The 14030-nt window shown below is 52.3% G+C and overlaps 1 long non-coding RNA gene across 4 annotated transcripts in view, besides 3 other annotated features; it reads left to right on the top strand.

The window, feature by feature from the left end:
* Nucleotides 2023-2523: an enhancer, noted in NCBI's record as "H3K4me1 hESC enhancer chr2:218661013-218661513 (GRCh37/hg19 assembly coordinates)". NCBI's record gives its function as "activates a minimal SCP1, AML or CMV promoter by ChIP-STARR-seq in naive H9 embryonic stem cells {active_cell/tissue: H9 hESC(naive)}" and the evidence as "EXISTENCE:reporter gene assay evidence [ECO:0000049][PMID:30033119]".
* DIRC3 (disrupted in renal carcinoma 3) overlaps nucleotides 8370-14030 on the top strand; it is a 506425-nt gene continuing 500764 nt past the window's right edge. For 3 of the 4 annotated variants that reach the window (NR_186298.1, NR_186301.1, NR_186296.1), the window contains exon 1: nucleotides 8370-8729. This is a non-coding gene — a long non-coding RNA (disrupted in renal carcinoma 3). Of the gene's footprint in view, nucleotides 8730-8839; nucleotides 8910-14030 lie in introns of all 4 variants that reach the window. The other variant, NR_186293.1, reaches the window with a different exon arrangement.
* Nucleotides 13073-13367: an enhancer, noted in NCBI's record as "tiled region #7557; HepG2 Activating DNase unmatched - State 4:PromP, and K562 Activating DNase unmatched - State 12:CtcfO". NCBI's record gives its function as "activates a minimal TATA promoter and a strong SV40 promoter by Sharpr-MPRA in HepG2 and K562 cells {active_cell/tissue: HepG2 | K562}" and the evidence as "EXISTENCE:reporter gene assay evidence [ECO:0000049][PMID:27701403]".
* Nucleotides 13198-13247: an enhancer, noted in NCBI's record as "active region_17107". NCBI's record gives its function as "activates an Ori minimal core promoter by ATAC-STARR-seq in GM12878 lymphoblastoid cells {active_cell/tissue: GM12878}" and the evidence as "EXISTENCE:reporter gene assay evidence [ECO:0000049][PMID:35858748]".

The following is a 14030-nucleotide window of genomic DNA, read 5'->3' as shown; positions in this document are numbered from 1 at the left end:
CATTCTTAAAATTATTCAGGACCCCAAAGGGCTTTTGTTTAGAAGGATTATATCTTTTGATCTTTTACCATAGTATAAATTAAAACTGAGAACATTAAAAATACTTAATTCACTTCCATAGTGATAAATTCATCACATGTTAATATAGAGAGCATTTTTGTGAGAAATAATATTTTCTAAAACAAAAAGCACTGGGTGAGAAGGTGACTTTGCTTTGCATTATTATTATTATTATTTTTGAGACGGGGTCTTGCTCTGTCGCCCAGGCTGGAGTGTAGTGGCACAATCATAGCTCGCTATGACTAGCCTCCACCTCCTGGGTTCAAGTGATCCTCCCACCTCAGCCCCCAAGGAGCTGGGACCACAGGTGTGCGCCACCACACCTGGCTAATTTTTTAATTTTTTTTTTTGTACAAAAGAGGTTTCACTATGCTGCTCAGGCTGGTCTCGAACTCCCGGGCTCAAGCAATCCTCTCTCCTTGGCCTCCCAAAGTGCTGGGATAACAGGCGTGAGCCACCATGTGCTTTGCAGTTTTTAAAGGCCTAATCATGTCTGGCTTAGCAGGAGATAGCTGGATTCTTATATAAGCTTCTGCATACAATCTGTTGCAATATCACCCATCATGGGCCTCTGGAAAACACTGTATACTTGTGGGAAAATGAGCAAAAAAAAGTCAAATAATGGCTTAATAGCATTATGAAAATGGTTTTGACCTCAACACTCCTGAAAGGGTCTCAGGGACCCCTGGGGTCCCCGGATCATACTTTGAAATCTGTTGCTATGAGGGATACAAGACACAGGAAACTCAGACCCTGTCCAAGGTGGAGACTGAACATGTCTTGCACCCTGCTCTCTGTTAGGTATCGTCATGCTGAGTCATCCCAACAAACCCATGAGGTAGGCGCTGTTATACACAGGGACAAGTAAGGAAACCGAGGCTCTGAGAGGTCACACAGTTTCTAGCTGGCAGAACTTGTACTCAGCATCACCACCACCGGTGAAGGCTGGCACTCAGCCAACACCTGCTACGTGCCAGAGAGCCTGTGCTAAGCACTTGGGTATCATTTCTCACGCACGTGCACCTGAGAGGTAAGGGCTATCCTTGTCCTCATTTCACAGTTGAAGAAACTGGAGTTCAAAGAGGTGAAGACACTTACTCAAAATCACAGAGTTGGGGTAAGTGGCCCAGCCAGGCTACGAACCCAGGTGAGCTGACTTCTCAGCCAGGCTCTTCCTAGCTCTTGCCTCTTTCTCTGCTCTCAGGGCTGGCTTCTGAGGGGAGAGACAGACTCTGATGAGCCATGGGCAAGTGGGAAGCCAAACTGATGTCACTGGTCAGATAGGGGGTCACGGGCTAGACTGTAGGCTGGCTTCCCAGGGTGTGGACCAGGGCTCCTGGGTGTGTGATGGGGGAGGTCAGGAGGTCATCCCCTGACACTGGCCAGCTGCAGAGGGATGTAGGTACCTCAGGGGTGGGCCTGGTACAGGGGAGGAGTGTCTGATGAGAGAGACAAGCTACGGCCTGTGAGCCGAGCTGATGCAGCTGGCCTTTCAGGGGACTCAGCAGTGAGGTGGCTGTGCTCTTGGTGCCTCAAGGAGGAGGAAGTGGATGGGGCAGCAGTGGAGGGCTCTGGTTGAGGAAGGGCAGCTCTTCTGACACACATTATCACACAGAATACCCAAAGGACCTTTGCATTTTCTTTCTTTCTTTTTTTCTTTTCTTTTCTTTCTTTCTTTTCTTTTTTTCTTTCGAGACAGAATCTCACTCCGTCACCCAGGAGGCTGGAGTGCAGTGGTGCGATCTCGGTTCACTGCAACCTCCGCCTCCCGGGTTCAAGTGATTCTTTTGCCTCAGCCTTCTGAGTAGCTGGTATTACAGGCACACGCCACCACTCCCGGCTAATTTTTGTATTTTTAGTAGAGATGGGGTTTCACCACGTTGGCCAGGCTGGTCTCGAACTCCAGACCTCAGGTGATCCACCCGTCTCAGTCTCCTAAAGTCCTGGGGTTACAGGCGTGAGCCACCGCTCCCAGTCGCCTTTGCATTTTCTATGCAGAGTGTGGCCCCTGTACCATCGGCATCGACATCACTTGGTGCTTACAGGAAAGACAGGACCTTTGGCCTCACCCTAGGCCTGCAGATCAGAATCTTCATGTTAGCCACATCCCCAGGAAATCTGCGTAAGTGCTGAAGTTTGAGCTGCTTGTGTGTGTATCTCATGCTGGGACTAGGCCAGGCTGACATGCTCAGCCCCGGGCTCTGCCTCAACACCACCTGAAACGTGAGGACCCAGTTTGGGTCTCCATGGGAGAGAAGCAGTCCTAGACCTCACCTTGGGGGCCTGCCTTATTGATGAGATTCTGGAATCTCTGCTGCCTGGGGCTGGCCGAGGCCAGGTAGGGACCAGTGCTGGTCCTGATGAGCAGGATAACTCTGGTTGCACCAGGCGTGCAGGGTGTGAAGAGAGTCCAGCCTTGGAAGAGGCAGGAACATCAACGGGGGCACAGGAGGGGCAGAGGGATGGCGGCTATCAGGCTCTCTCTTGTCCTCAAGCTCTGCTGGAAAGTGCTGAAGCCTGGGCCCCACCCCAGAGATTCGGAGTGGGTCAGTCTGAGGTCCAGCCTAGGCAGTGGGAATTTTAATCACTCCTGGGCAACTCTATGTGCAGCCCAGGCTGAAAGCCACTAGGAGCCCTCTCCTCAGATTGGCTTCTTCTAGATCAGGGGTGTGTGTGTAGGCCCATGGGCACCTGTGCTTGGACTGGTGGGGAGCTGAGGAGCGGAGGAAGTCACAGTGGGAAGAAGTCCCCTCTGGACTGGCTTAGATCCCGCCTCGCTTTTTTGGGGTGGGAGGATGCCATCCCCTCCCATCTGGAGTGGAGGCCACTGGTATTTTAAAAATTCCAGGCCTCAAATGTCCCTCCTCCTGCATCCTGTGGGCTAAGAGGGGAGGAGCCGTGGCCATATCTTCATGGGACTCACCTCCAGGGCCTGCGGAGCTGGGTGGGAGGGGACGCCTGGAAGAGGCTTTGCAGGCTGCTTCATTTCAGCTCCACAGGCTTCACAATACCTCCTGGGTGGTGGGGGTGGTGAAATGAAAGTCTGCCGTCCTCTTTTAAGAAACTGGTTTTACTGGGATTTTCCCTGTTAGTTGGTGAAAATGCCTATTTATTAGTGCTTAGTAATTTACAAGCAGTCAGAACATGGGAAGGATATGGCCCATTCTAAAAACACTGACAGTAGGTATAGGACTAAAGACACATCCCCTCACACACACAGAAGCACACGCAAGACATGCAGACACACATACGTGCACAGAGACACACAGACACACGTGCATACACATGCCCACACAGATGCACACAGACACACAGATGCACACACACAAGACATGCAGACACACATATGTACACACAGAGACACAGACACACATGCGCACACAGAGACACAAAGACACACGTGCAAACGCATGCCCACAGACACAGATGCACACACATAGACACACAGATGCACACACACAAGCACACATGCAGACACACAGATGCACACACATACAACATGCAGACTCACACATGGACACACAGAGACACGCAGACACACATATACCCAGGCACACACATAGACACATGTACACACACATGAACACATGCACACAGACACACAGATGCACACACATACAAGACATGCAGACACACACGGACACACAGAGACACCAGACACACATATACACATGCACACACAGATGCACACACATGAACACACATGCACAGAGACACACAGATGCACACACACACGATATGCAGACATACAGGCCCATACATACACACACAGACACACGTACACAAGAGACCTAGTCCCTCGGAATATGCTGCGTCTCCATGCAGGCATCTGCTTTCCTACCTCCTTCTCTCCAAGCATTCTGGTGTTCAGCTAACTGATGAGTCAGTCCCAGGGGTCATGGGGTCATCAGTGGGGCAGGGAGCTTCTCCCACAGTGAGCTGACCCCTGCCACACTAGTTAGCAGAAGGGCGTGATCAAAGGAGGGGAATGTCTCCATGAACTCTGCAGATCAGATCAGCTGCGGGGCCTGGTGCACACTGGATGTGGATGTGGGCAAGCTGGGGTGTGGTAGAAAAGGGTCAGGGCCTCAAGGAGCACCTGAAGGAGCTGAGACCTCGGCCTGGAGAAGAAGAGCTTCAGGGAGGTTGAGATGGGATGCTGGCCTCCGATGTTTGATGGCCTCCTCTCTGGAACAGTCAGCATTCTCTGGGCTCCCCATGTAATAGACGAGGGCCACAGGGAGGCCAGAGCGGGGAGGAGATGCTTGAAATGGAAAGGGGTGCTTTGGGAGGGGTGAGCTCCTGTACCTGGAAATGTTGGGCCCAGAGACTGCAAAAGGCCCTTTCGAGGCTCTGTCCTGGGTATGGCTGCTGGCACATGCCAGGAGACCACCTCATCCAGGTCAAGCCAAGAGGATAGGCATGGCTGGGCCCAAGTTTCCTTATCCGTCAAATGGGGTCACACCTATCCTGGAGGGCTGCATGACCACACAGCACCTAGCATGGTGCTCAGCTTACTGCTGGCCCTGCAGGGCATCGAGAAACATGAGCTTCCTTTCCTTTTCTGGTGGCTCTTGCCTTCTCCGCCATTTCCTTAGGCCTCTGGGGACACTTGGCAGCAGAAAAGGCTGGAGCAGAAAGCCTCTCACATGATATTGATCTGGCCGGCTCTGGACTCCAGACCACAGCGTGTGGGATGGTGGTACAACCGCCTCCATGGCTCCAGCTTTTATGGGGTTTGAAAGATCATTTCTGGCCATCGAGACAGGATGTCCATCTTCTGGGCCCCTCCTCTTAACCTCTGCTCCATTTCCTGACTCCCAGATCGGTTCTGGGAAACCCCCTTCCCAGGTCTGGCCCTGGGAAACCAAGGGGTGCCTGTAAGGTTGTCATTTCCCCACCCCGGCCCTCCCTCAGCCCCTCTTGCATTTGCAGAATCTGACCTGGCTGAACCATCACCCCTCCCTCCCTCAGGGGATTCTGGCTGGTTTAGGGTATCAGGAGCCAAGGCCACTGGGGCATGGGTAGGAGTCCTTGAGGAGAGCAAGAGACCACCAGGAGAAACGGAGCTTTAGCGCTCTGGAGACAGCAGGCCCAGCTTGGGGTAAGTCAATCAACCAATTAATTAACTGATTTGAAAGACACATACTGAGCACCTACTATGTACAGGCACTGTACTTGGCCCTGAGCACCAACAATGTGTTTGTTTGTCTCATGGCACTCCGGGTCTCGTGGGATCAGGAAAAACATATAAAGAATCAGCAAATATATAATCACAGTGTGATCGTGCACTGGAGCAAGGGTGCTTTATAGAGCAAGAGTTTCTAAATGGATCTGGATGCTCTGGGGAGAGCAGAGAAGGTGTCCCTTAGGAAGTGACATGTGCTGAATGTCAGAATCCAAAGGGTGAACAGGAGTTGGTCAGGCAAAGAGGGAAGAAAGGGTGTTTCAGGCAGAGGGAACAGCACATGCCGAGGCCCAGGGGCAGGAGAGTCTTCATGCCTCTGAACCCCACGTACACTCCCTTGATAGCACATTTCACAGTTGTAATTTGACATGAATTTGAAGGCAGGACAGACTCGTGGTTGAATGCACAGGCTATGATGTCAGACTACATGAGTTCAAATTCTGGCTCCATGCCTACTAGCTGTGTGACCTTGGGCAAGTTGCTTGACCCTGCTGTGCTTGTTTCCACATCTGTAAAATGTGGGGTGATAACAGTAACACCTAACTCAGAGGGTTGTAGGAGTTGATAATTTATGTAGGCAAAAACAGCTCAGACAGCACCTGGCAGGTAGTAAGTGCTCAGTAAATGTTAGCTATGCTTATTTATTTATGTGAACTTCTTTTTTTCTTTCTCCCTCACTAGACTGTAAAGTCTGCAAGAGCAAGGCTCCAGGTCTGTATGTGTGAAGTCCCAGCACAGTGTCTGGCCTGTGGAAGACCCTTGATCAATGTTTGTAGAGGGAGTGAGGGGACTGCAAGGTCAGTGTGGGCAAAGGGAGCCAGGGGGAGGTGGGGAGGGTTTGGGGAGGTGGGAGGGTTGGGGGAGGTGGGGAGGGTTGGGCTAGAGAGGCTGGGTAAGCTAGGCAGGGCTTTGCAGGCCACAGGAAGGGTTTGGTGTTTGTAGTTAGAGCAGTGGGAATGTTTGAAGATTCTGAATCAAGGGGGCAGGGGATCTGGTTGGTATTTTGTAAAGATGACTGGGCTGTCAGTTTCAACATCAACTGAACCCCAAGTATATGTCAATGTTATATTAGGTGCTTTGTTAAATGCTATTTCATTCATTTTATAAAATGATTGTGGGAAATAGGCAGACAGCTAAGAAAATGAAAGCTCAGAAGGATTAAGTAGTTTGCTCCAAATCTCATAGCTGGAAAGTGCTATAGAAATGGACTGAAGATCTCTTGTTTTTGTTTTTTATAGAGACAGGGTCTTGCTCCATTGCCCAGGCTGGAGTGCAGTGGTGCAATCATAGCTCACTGCAGCTTTGTCCTCCTGGGCTCAAGAAATTGTCCCACCTCAGCCCCCTGAATAGCTGGGACTTACAGGTGTGTGTCACGATGCCCAGCTAATTTTTTCAATTTTTTTTTTTTTGTAGCAGAGATGAGGTCTTGCTAGGTTGCCCAGGCTGGTCTTGAACTCCCAAGCTCAAGTGATCCTCCTGCCTCAGCCTCCCAAAGTGTTGAGATTACAGGCGTGAGCCACTGTACCTGGCTTGAAGATCTCTTTAGCTCTGTATCAGTTAGAATATTAGTGCAGCTTCTATAACAAAGACTTTGAATTACCAAACACTTAAATGTGGCCATTTGTTTTTGTCTTACTTGTATTATAGCTCTCCCCTATGAAATTAGTCAGGACCCCAGGGCCCTTCAATTTGATCGCCCTGCCATCCTCAATATGTGGTCCATTATGGTTGCTCCAGCTCCTGCCATTACAACTGCATTCTAGTCAGTGAAAAGCAGGAAAAGAGGAAGGAGAGGGCGTGCCCTTCTCTTTAAGGATGTGGTACATTTACAGTATATACATTGTTTCTGCTCAGATCACAATAGCCAGAACTGTCACATGGCCTCAACTAGCTGCTGGGAAATGCCATTTTTATACCTTGCAGCCATGAGTACAGCCATACTTCTGGGGAGTTATTAGTAAAGGAGGAGAGGAGAGTGGGTATTGGGAACAACTGGAAATTTCTGATTCATACTCCAACATGTGCTGGAGGGAAAGATTTAAGAGTTATATTAGATACCATATGGGGAGGGGGTAGCTGAACAGCTTGAGTCCCCCTCTTTCATGGGAAGGGGGGGATGTGTAGGGATGGGTACCAGGGGCCATGTCAGTGTATTGAGATATCTTGACCACTTCCTCCAGTCATACTGCAGACTGGTCCAGGGATGAGTTCGTGACTCAAGTTGGGTCAGTTCAAATGCCCCCCTTGGACTGGAGAAAGAGAATGAGAAAGGGTCTGGGGTTGGGGTGGGTGGCTGCATGGAGTTCTCAACATTATCTCCAGGGAGGTGACTGCCTCTCTGCATGGCCTCTGTCCTCGTGCTTACTCCTCTGCAAGGTCAATCTGTCCATTCCCCTGTATCTCGGGCACAGAGGACAAGGCCTGAGGCTGCAGGGCAGAGCTTTCTATGCTCCATGTGTGGAGTCTAGAGACTGCAGAAAGAGCAGCTTAACTCACAGGGCCACCCAGACTAGACGGTGGACATCTCTGAGGACAACAGACTGGATGACCAGGTGGGCCTGTCTCCAGGCCTTGGTGCTATCTAAGCTCCAAGTGTTAGATACAACCTAAAGTTTCTTGCTAGTGCTGCAGAGAGGGTTGTGTGATGTAGAAAATAGAGACATAGGAATATTGCTGTGCCTTTGCAGGCTGTGAGTCATCCTGACACAGAGGTACTGTAGACAGAGGAGAGTCGTGGGTGGAAGCAGGGGAACATTGCTGTGTAAGGAGAAGGGAAGGAGAGGAGGAGAAGGTCCTGTGAAGAAGACAGAGGTCTCAGAGAGGAAGGAGGAGGACCTAGAAGGGGTGGTGTTTTGATGGGGAAAGGAGCTTTTCTTCTTTTCTAGAAGGAAAGAATGGCTGGTCAACAGTCCAGCCACCACCTTAGGATCAAAGTTAGTGAGCCCCAGAAGAAGGACACTGAATTTGGCCACAAAGAAATCATCCTTGTCCTTTTCTTTGGGAAAAGAGCGACAGCATCAGTAGGGGGCAGGAGGCTGAGGAAGTGGCTTAGCACAGCGTCAGGCTCATGAAAGTCTCACGAGATTTGTAGAGTTGGTGAACTGATGAGTGAATAGGAAGTAGAGACACAGCAAGTATAGACAGCTCGGAAGACCTTGACCCCCACCCACCCCAATCGACGTGTTTTCCTGGGCTTTACTCTTTGCTTCCGTTAGTCACTTTGGCCAAGGTTTCTCCTGCGTAGACGTCAGGATGGCGAGGACAGAGGCCAGGAAGGAAGGAGATGTGTCCCAGAAAGCTGAAGCCCCCTCCTGGGGCAGCCTTTTGGAAGGAGCTTCTGATACCTAACCTGGATCATTCCTGCTGCAGTATCAGCAGGTGTCAGCCGGGGAAGGAGAAGCCTTCTGTGAATGACAGTCCTTCAGATGACTAAAAACAGCTGAACTCTATCCCAAGCAGATATAAGAGAGGTGGAGATCAGGTGAGAGCCGCAGCTGGGTGGAATTCAGGGCAGCGTCAGCGTTCTGTGTGTGCCTGGTGCTGGGTTACAGCCGTCTCACTGCGCTTCCTCTTCTCCGATTCCTGCTCCAGGATCTCACCCTCCCCAGCCTCTAATAACCCCAAATCCTGGATTGGTGTTTGGGAGACCGTGGCTGGCCAGGTAAACAGGGCAGGCCGGGAGCAACAGCAGACACTGGAGGGAGGGAGTCGGGCCCTCCTCTGGATGAGTATTTGGGACCGGCAGGAAGGGCAGGTGGGGGAGGCTGAGTTCGAGGTTTCCCCCTTGGGGTCTCCTCTCTCCTGTTTCCAGTCTCCCCCGTCTCCCTTTTCAGCGCCTCCTCCCTTCCAGCCCATCCTGTCTGCATTTGCCCTCTGCCTTCCCTCCTCTCTGTCCCTCCGTTTCCCATCTCATCTGCCTTCTGTCTCCCAGGCAGCCTCCCCCAAGGCCCCACCCCGCTGAGGCACCTGTAGGCAGGGTTTCGGCAGGAGCTGCTGCCAGTGGTCCTCAGGGGAGGATGGACCTCCCTTTTCAAGAACTTCTGAAAACAGGAGGGGCCTAAACTTGGACTGGGGAGAGCTAAGGGAGGACTTTGGGATGTCCATACAGGCAGGGATTCTGTGACCCTTTGGTTTTCTTCTCCCCCGCCAGTTAAGGCAGAGCTGCCACGGGCTACGGCTCCCTCTAGTGGCCAACTTGGGAACCGCAGCCACTCATTGCCTTTCCTGGAAGCGGTCACAGTGGGCAGTAGGCTGAATCAACTGTCCAAGGGCCTGAGAGGCACAATTAATAGACAGCTGGAAGCCGAGAGTCTTCAGGTACTTAGAGACAGGCTGATTATTAAAAGCTTCAGTACAGCGGTGAGGACGGAGACCCACAGTCTCTGTTCCCATTATCAATCATCCCTCGTGGCGGATTGGACCTGGCCCAGATTTTCTCAATCATTTCTCAATGACCACCACTCAGGCAGTCAGCAGTGGCAGGAGCCAGAGAGCTCCAGGGCTCCAGGGTGTGGCTCAGCAGAAGGGGCACTGGACACAACGGGGCCTAGGCAAGATCCTTCCCCTCTCAAAACCCCCATGTCCCGTTCTTTGGGCCTTTGGGACCTGGGTGTCTCTGGGCTGCCCTCTCACAGCCCTGCATAGCCCATGCCCTAGTGCTTGCTCGCTGAGTCTGCAAGGCCAACCTGTCCATTCCCCTGCAGCCGGCCTGCTGCTTGGCAGGGCAGGTGAGCGCCTCTCCTGTGGCAGACGGTGCAGTGTTCAGCTCCACTGGACCTTTCGGGTGATTTGACCTCTGGAAGTTCTATTCCACTCACTCTTGCTTCTCCCCTTCCAAGTGACTACATTCCTAGAGGTTCTAGCACCTGCGGAGATGGAAACAGCTGCTCCCCATCCTCCGGGATCTGGGTCAGAGAACCTGAAATGCAGGCATCTTTATTTCCCAGACTCAGTTATTAGACTTCCCTCTTTTTCAGAGTCAATGACCCCCACAAAAAGAGTGAGCATGAACATCAACCTTTCTCCAAGGACACCCAGGCTCTGATTTCACTGAACTACCCCAAGTCTCTATGAACGTGGAACTGAATCTGACTGATTGAAAGTAAAATTAAAAAGTAAATAGTCCTCTTTTCCCTAAAAGGAGTGGTAGTGGGTGCTTCTGCAGAGGTAGGATCAAAGCACTGAGAAGCCTATTAGAAAACAAGGACAGTAAAACACTCTCTTTTACCTGCAGGCAGAACATGGGGGCAGAGTGCCCAGGCAGAGCAGGATTTGCCTTCACATCCATCCAATATGGGCCCAAGTGTCAGCTTTGCTAGTTTCTCACTTATGTGATCCCGGACAAATTATTTGACCTCTTGTTGCCTCAGTTTCTTCGTCTATAAAATGGGCCAGTAATAACTAGCTGACAAAGTTATGTGGATATTCACAATTCTGTGTATAGAATGCCGAGCACAGTGCTCATGTGACATGGTGGGAGGCAAGTAACATTTACTGGCTGTCTATGATACTGTTGGGCCCTGCATGAGATGCACAGGATGTCACTTACAAAAAACTCAAAATGGTGGCCGTGATCACTCCCATTTCACAGATTAGAAAACCAAGGCTCGGAGAAGGTAAGTAACAACTCTGTTAGTAAGTGCTGCATAAGGATTCAAATCCATCTCTATCTGCTTCCAAAGACTTTGGGCTTATCCAGAATGGTGTAGATAGTGTGGGGGTAGGAGCATGCTGGGGTCCAGGTCTTGAGATGGTGAGAGGTGACAACGTGCTAGCAGCCCTCGCTCCCTCTCAGCACCTCCTTGGCCTCGGCGCCCACTCTGGCCGCGCTTGAGGAGCCCTTCAGCCTGCCCCTGCACTGTGGGAGCCCCACTCTGGGCTGGCCAAGGCTGCAGCCGGCTCCCTCTGCTTGTGGGGAGGTGTGGAGAGAGAGGCGCGGGCAGGAACCAGGGCTGCGCGCTGTGCTTGCGAGCCAGCGTGAGTTCTGGGTGGGCGGGGGCCCGCACTCGGAGCGACCAGCCAGTGCCGCTGGCCCTGGGCAGTGGGGGGCTTAGCACCTGGGCCAGCAGCTGCAGAGGGTGCGCTGGGTCCCCCAGCACTGCTGGCCTGCCCGTGTTGTGCTCCAATTCTCGCGGGGTCTCAGCTGCCTCCCCGAGGGGCAGGGCTCGGGACCTGCAGCCCACCATGCCTGAGCCTCCCCCGTCCTCCCTGCGCTCCCACCGGGCCCAAGCCTCCCCGACGGGCACCGCCCCCTGCTCCGTGGTGCCCGGTCCCATCGACCGCCCAAGGACTGAGGCGTGCAGGTGTGGGGCACGGGACTGGCAGGCAGCTTTGCCCACAGGCACGGCATTCACTAGGGGAAGCCAGCTGGGCTTCTGAGTCAGGTGGGGACTTGGAGAACTTTTATGTCTAGCTGGAGGATTGTATATGCACCAATCAGCACTCTGTGCCTTGCTCAGGGTTTGTGGATGCACCAATCAGCACTCTGTATCTAGCTTATCTGGTGGGGACTTGGAGAACTTTTATGTCTAGCTAAAGGATTATAAATACACCAATCAGTACTCTGTCTAGCTCAAGGTTTGTAAACACACCAATCAGCACTCTGTGTCTAGCTCAAGGTTTGTAAAGGCACCAATCAGTGCTGTGTCTAGCTAATCTAGTGGGGACTTGGAGAACTTTTACTTCTAGCTAGAGGATTGTAAATGCACCAATCAGCACTCTGTGTCTAGCTCAGGGATTGTAAATGCACCAATCAGCACCCTGTCAAAATGGACCAATCAGCTCTCTGTAAAATGGGCCAATCAGCAGGATGTAGGTGAGGGGTGGTCAGATAAGGGAATAAAAACAGGCTGCCCTAGCCAGCAGCAGCAACCCGCTCTCTGCTTCCACACTGTGGAAGCTTTGTTCTTTCGCTCTTTGCACTAAATCTTGCTGCTGCTCACTCTTTGAGTCCGCACCGCGTTTATAAGCTGTAACACCCACTGTGAAGGTCTGCAGCTTCACTCCTGAAGCCAGCGAGACCATGAACCCATCGGGAGGGAGGAACAACTCCAGATGCGCCGCCTTTAAGAACTGTAACACTCACTGCAAAAGTCTGCAGCTTCACTTCTGAAGCCAGTGAGACCACGAACCCACCAGTTGGAAGAAACTCAGGACACATCTGAACATCAGAAGGAACAAACTCTGGACACACCATGTTTAAGAAGTGTAACACTCACCGCTAGGGTCTGCGGCTTCAAGTGTACCAAGAACCCACCAATTTTGTACACAATGGCAGAAGTCATTGAGATCAGAGAAGAGTGGGACAAGAGGAGGGGTAGCAAGGACAGGCCTTAGAGAGAAGAGGCTCAGGGCCCGTGACATCCTGGTGACCAGCTGTCTCACTGTGCCCTTAGCAGGTGAGGCAACTGATAGTATTGGCTGGTCCAAAGATCCAGTGACAGAGAGTCTAGGACAGTCCCCCAAGAGGCAGACGAAGCTGGACAAGGGCTGCATTGGGAGGAATCCAGGCTGCACAGGGAAGCAGGACCTGAGAGGTAGCAGCACCACTTAGAAGTGGGGATGGTGGGAAGCTGAGGGCCAGCATGGGGCCTTCCTGATCAGCCCAGGGCTGGTGGAGCCCCCAGGATAGCACCAGGGAGTGGTCACCTCACTGGCTCTGGAGAGGCTGGGGATGTCCCTAGCTCAATAGGAGAGAACCTCGAGGGGACGGGTTGGGGGAAGGAGAAGCCTAGAACTTGAGTCAGCCAGATGCCCAGCTGTGGCCCATGAGGCCAATCACCTAGTGCAGGGCCCCCTCCTTCCTTTAGAAAGGGGAGTAGGGGGTCCACCTCCTTCGTATGTCCGCTCTGGTCCTGGGTCGAGCTGTTGGTTTTAGGGATGGCGGCTGTAGAGGCATTGGAAGGGGGATGTCGCCCTCTTGTGGTCGGATGGCTGTGGTGCAGAGGAAGTGCCCATTGCTGCCGCAGGCCTTCCCAGTTGATAGAACATTTGAACTTCTTTCACGTATCAGGCTCCCTTGGTGAGCGATGTCCCTGAGCCGGGGACACAGGAGGCAGAGGGATGGCTTTCTCCGGAGATACTGTGGGGCTCTAAGGGTCCCAGGCACACTGCAATAGCAGCAATGGTGGGGACTAGAAGAATGAAAGGACATGTAGTGAACTCCCAGCTCAAGCCAGGCCCTGGACCAGCCCTGGGGATGCAGGGATGAACAGGACACAGTCCATACCCTCCATGTCCATGCAGGAGACAGACAAGAGGCCAGGAACAATGATGTCCCCAATGCTGTGACGGAGGCACGGTGTTAGGGCCATCGTCATTTTTTCCCTCTGGAAGGATTCTTGAGTAATCCCCCGGCCTCTCTCCTCACCCGGCACCATCTTTTTCATGTCGGGCTGGGGAGTTGGAAGGAAAAATCCAGCAAATCGGCTAGCTCCTTCCATCTGCCCCTTCCCTCAGCCAGCCCCTACCCAGGACGTTGGCATCCCAGTCTCCTCTCTGCCACCCCCGAGGGGCCTGCCTGTGTGGGGGCCCTTGGTCATCCTGCACCGTTTGTCTCCGGGATGGGAGGGTAGAGCCACATTCTCCACTCAGCTCTATCACTAACGTTTTGATTTTCATCTCCCTGACTTTTGGCTGATATCTCAATTGTTTCTGAACTCAGGCACAGGAAGCCTCCTCCAAAGCCCCAGAACAGTGCTTCTCAACCAGAGGTGGTTTTGCTGCTCAGAGACCATTTGTCACAGTGTGGGGTGGGGAGGGGGCATAATATGGGCATCTACTG

Source organism: Homo sapiens, chromosome 2, assembly GCF_000001405.40.
Source record: "Homo sapiens chromosome 2, GRCh38.p14 Primary Assembly".
Classification (NCBI taxonomy): Eukaryota; Metazoa; Chordata; class Mammalia; order Primates; family Hominidae; genus Homo; species Homo sapiens.
This window is presented reverse-complemented; position numbering and strand designations above follow the sequence as displayed.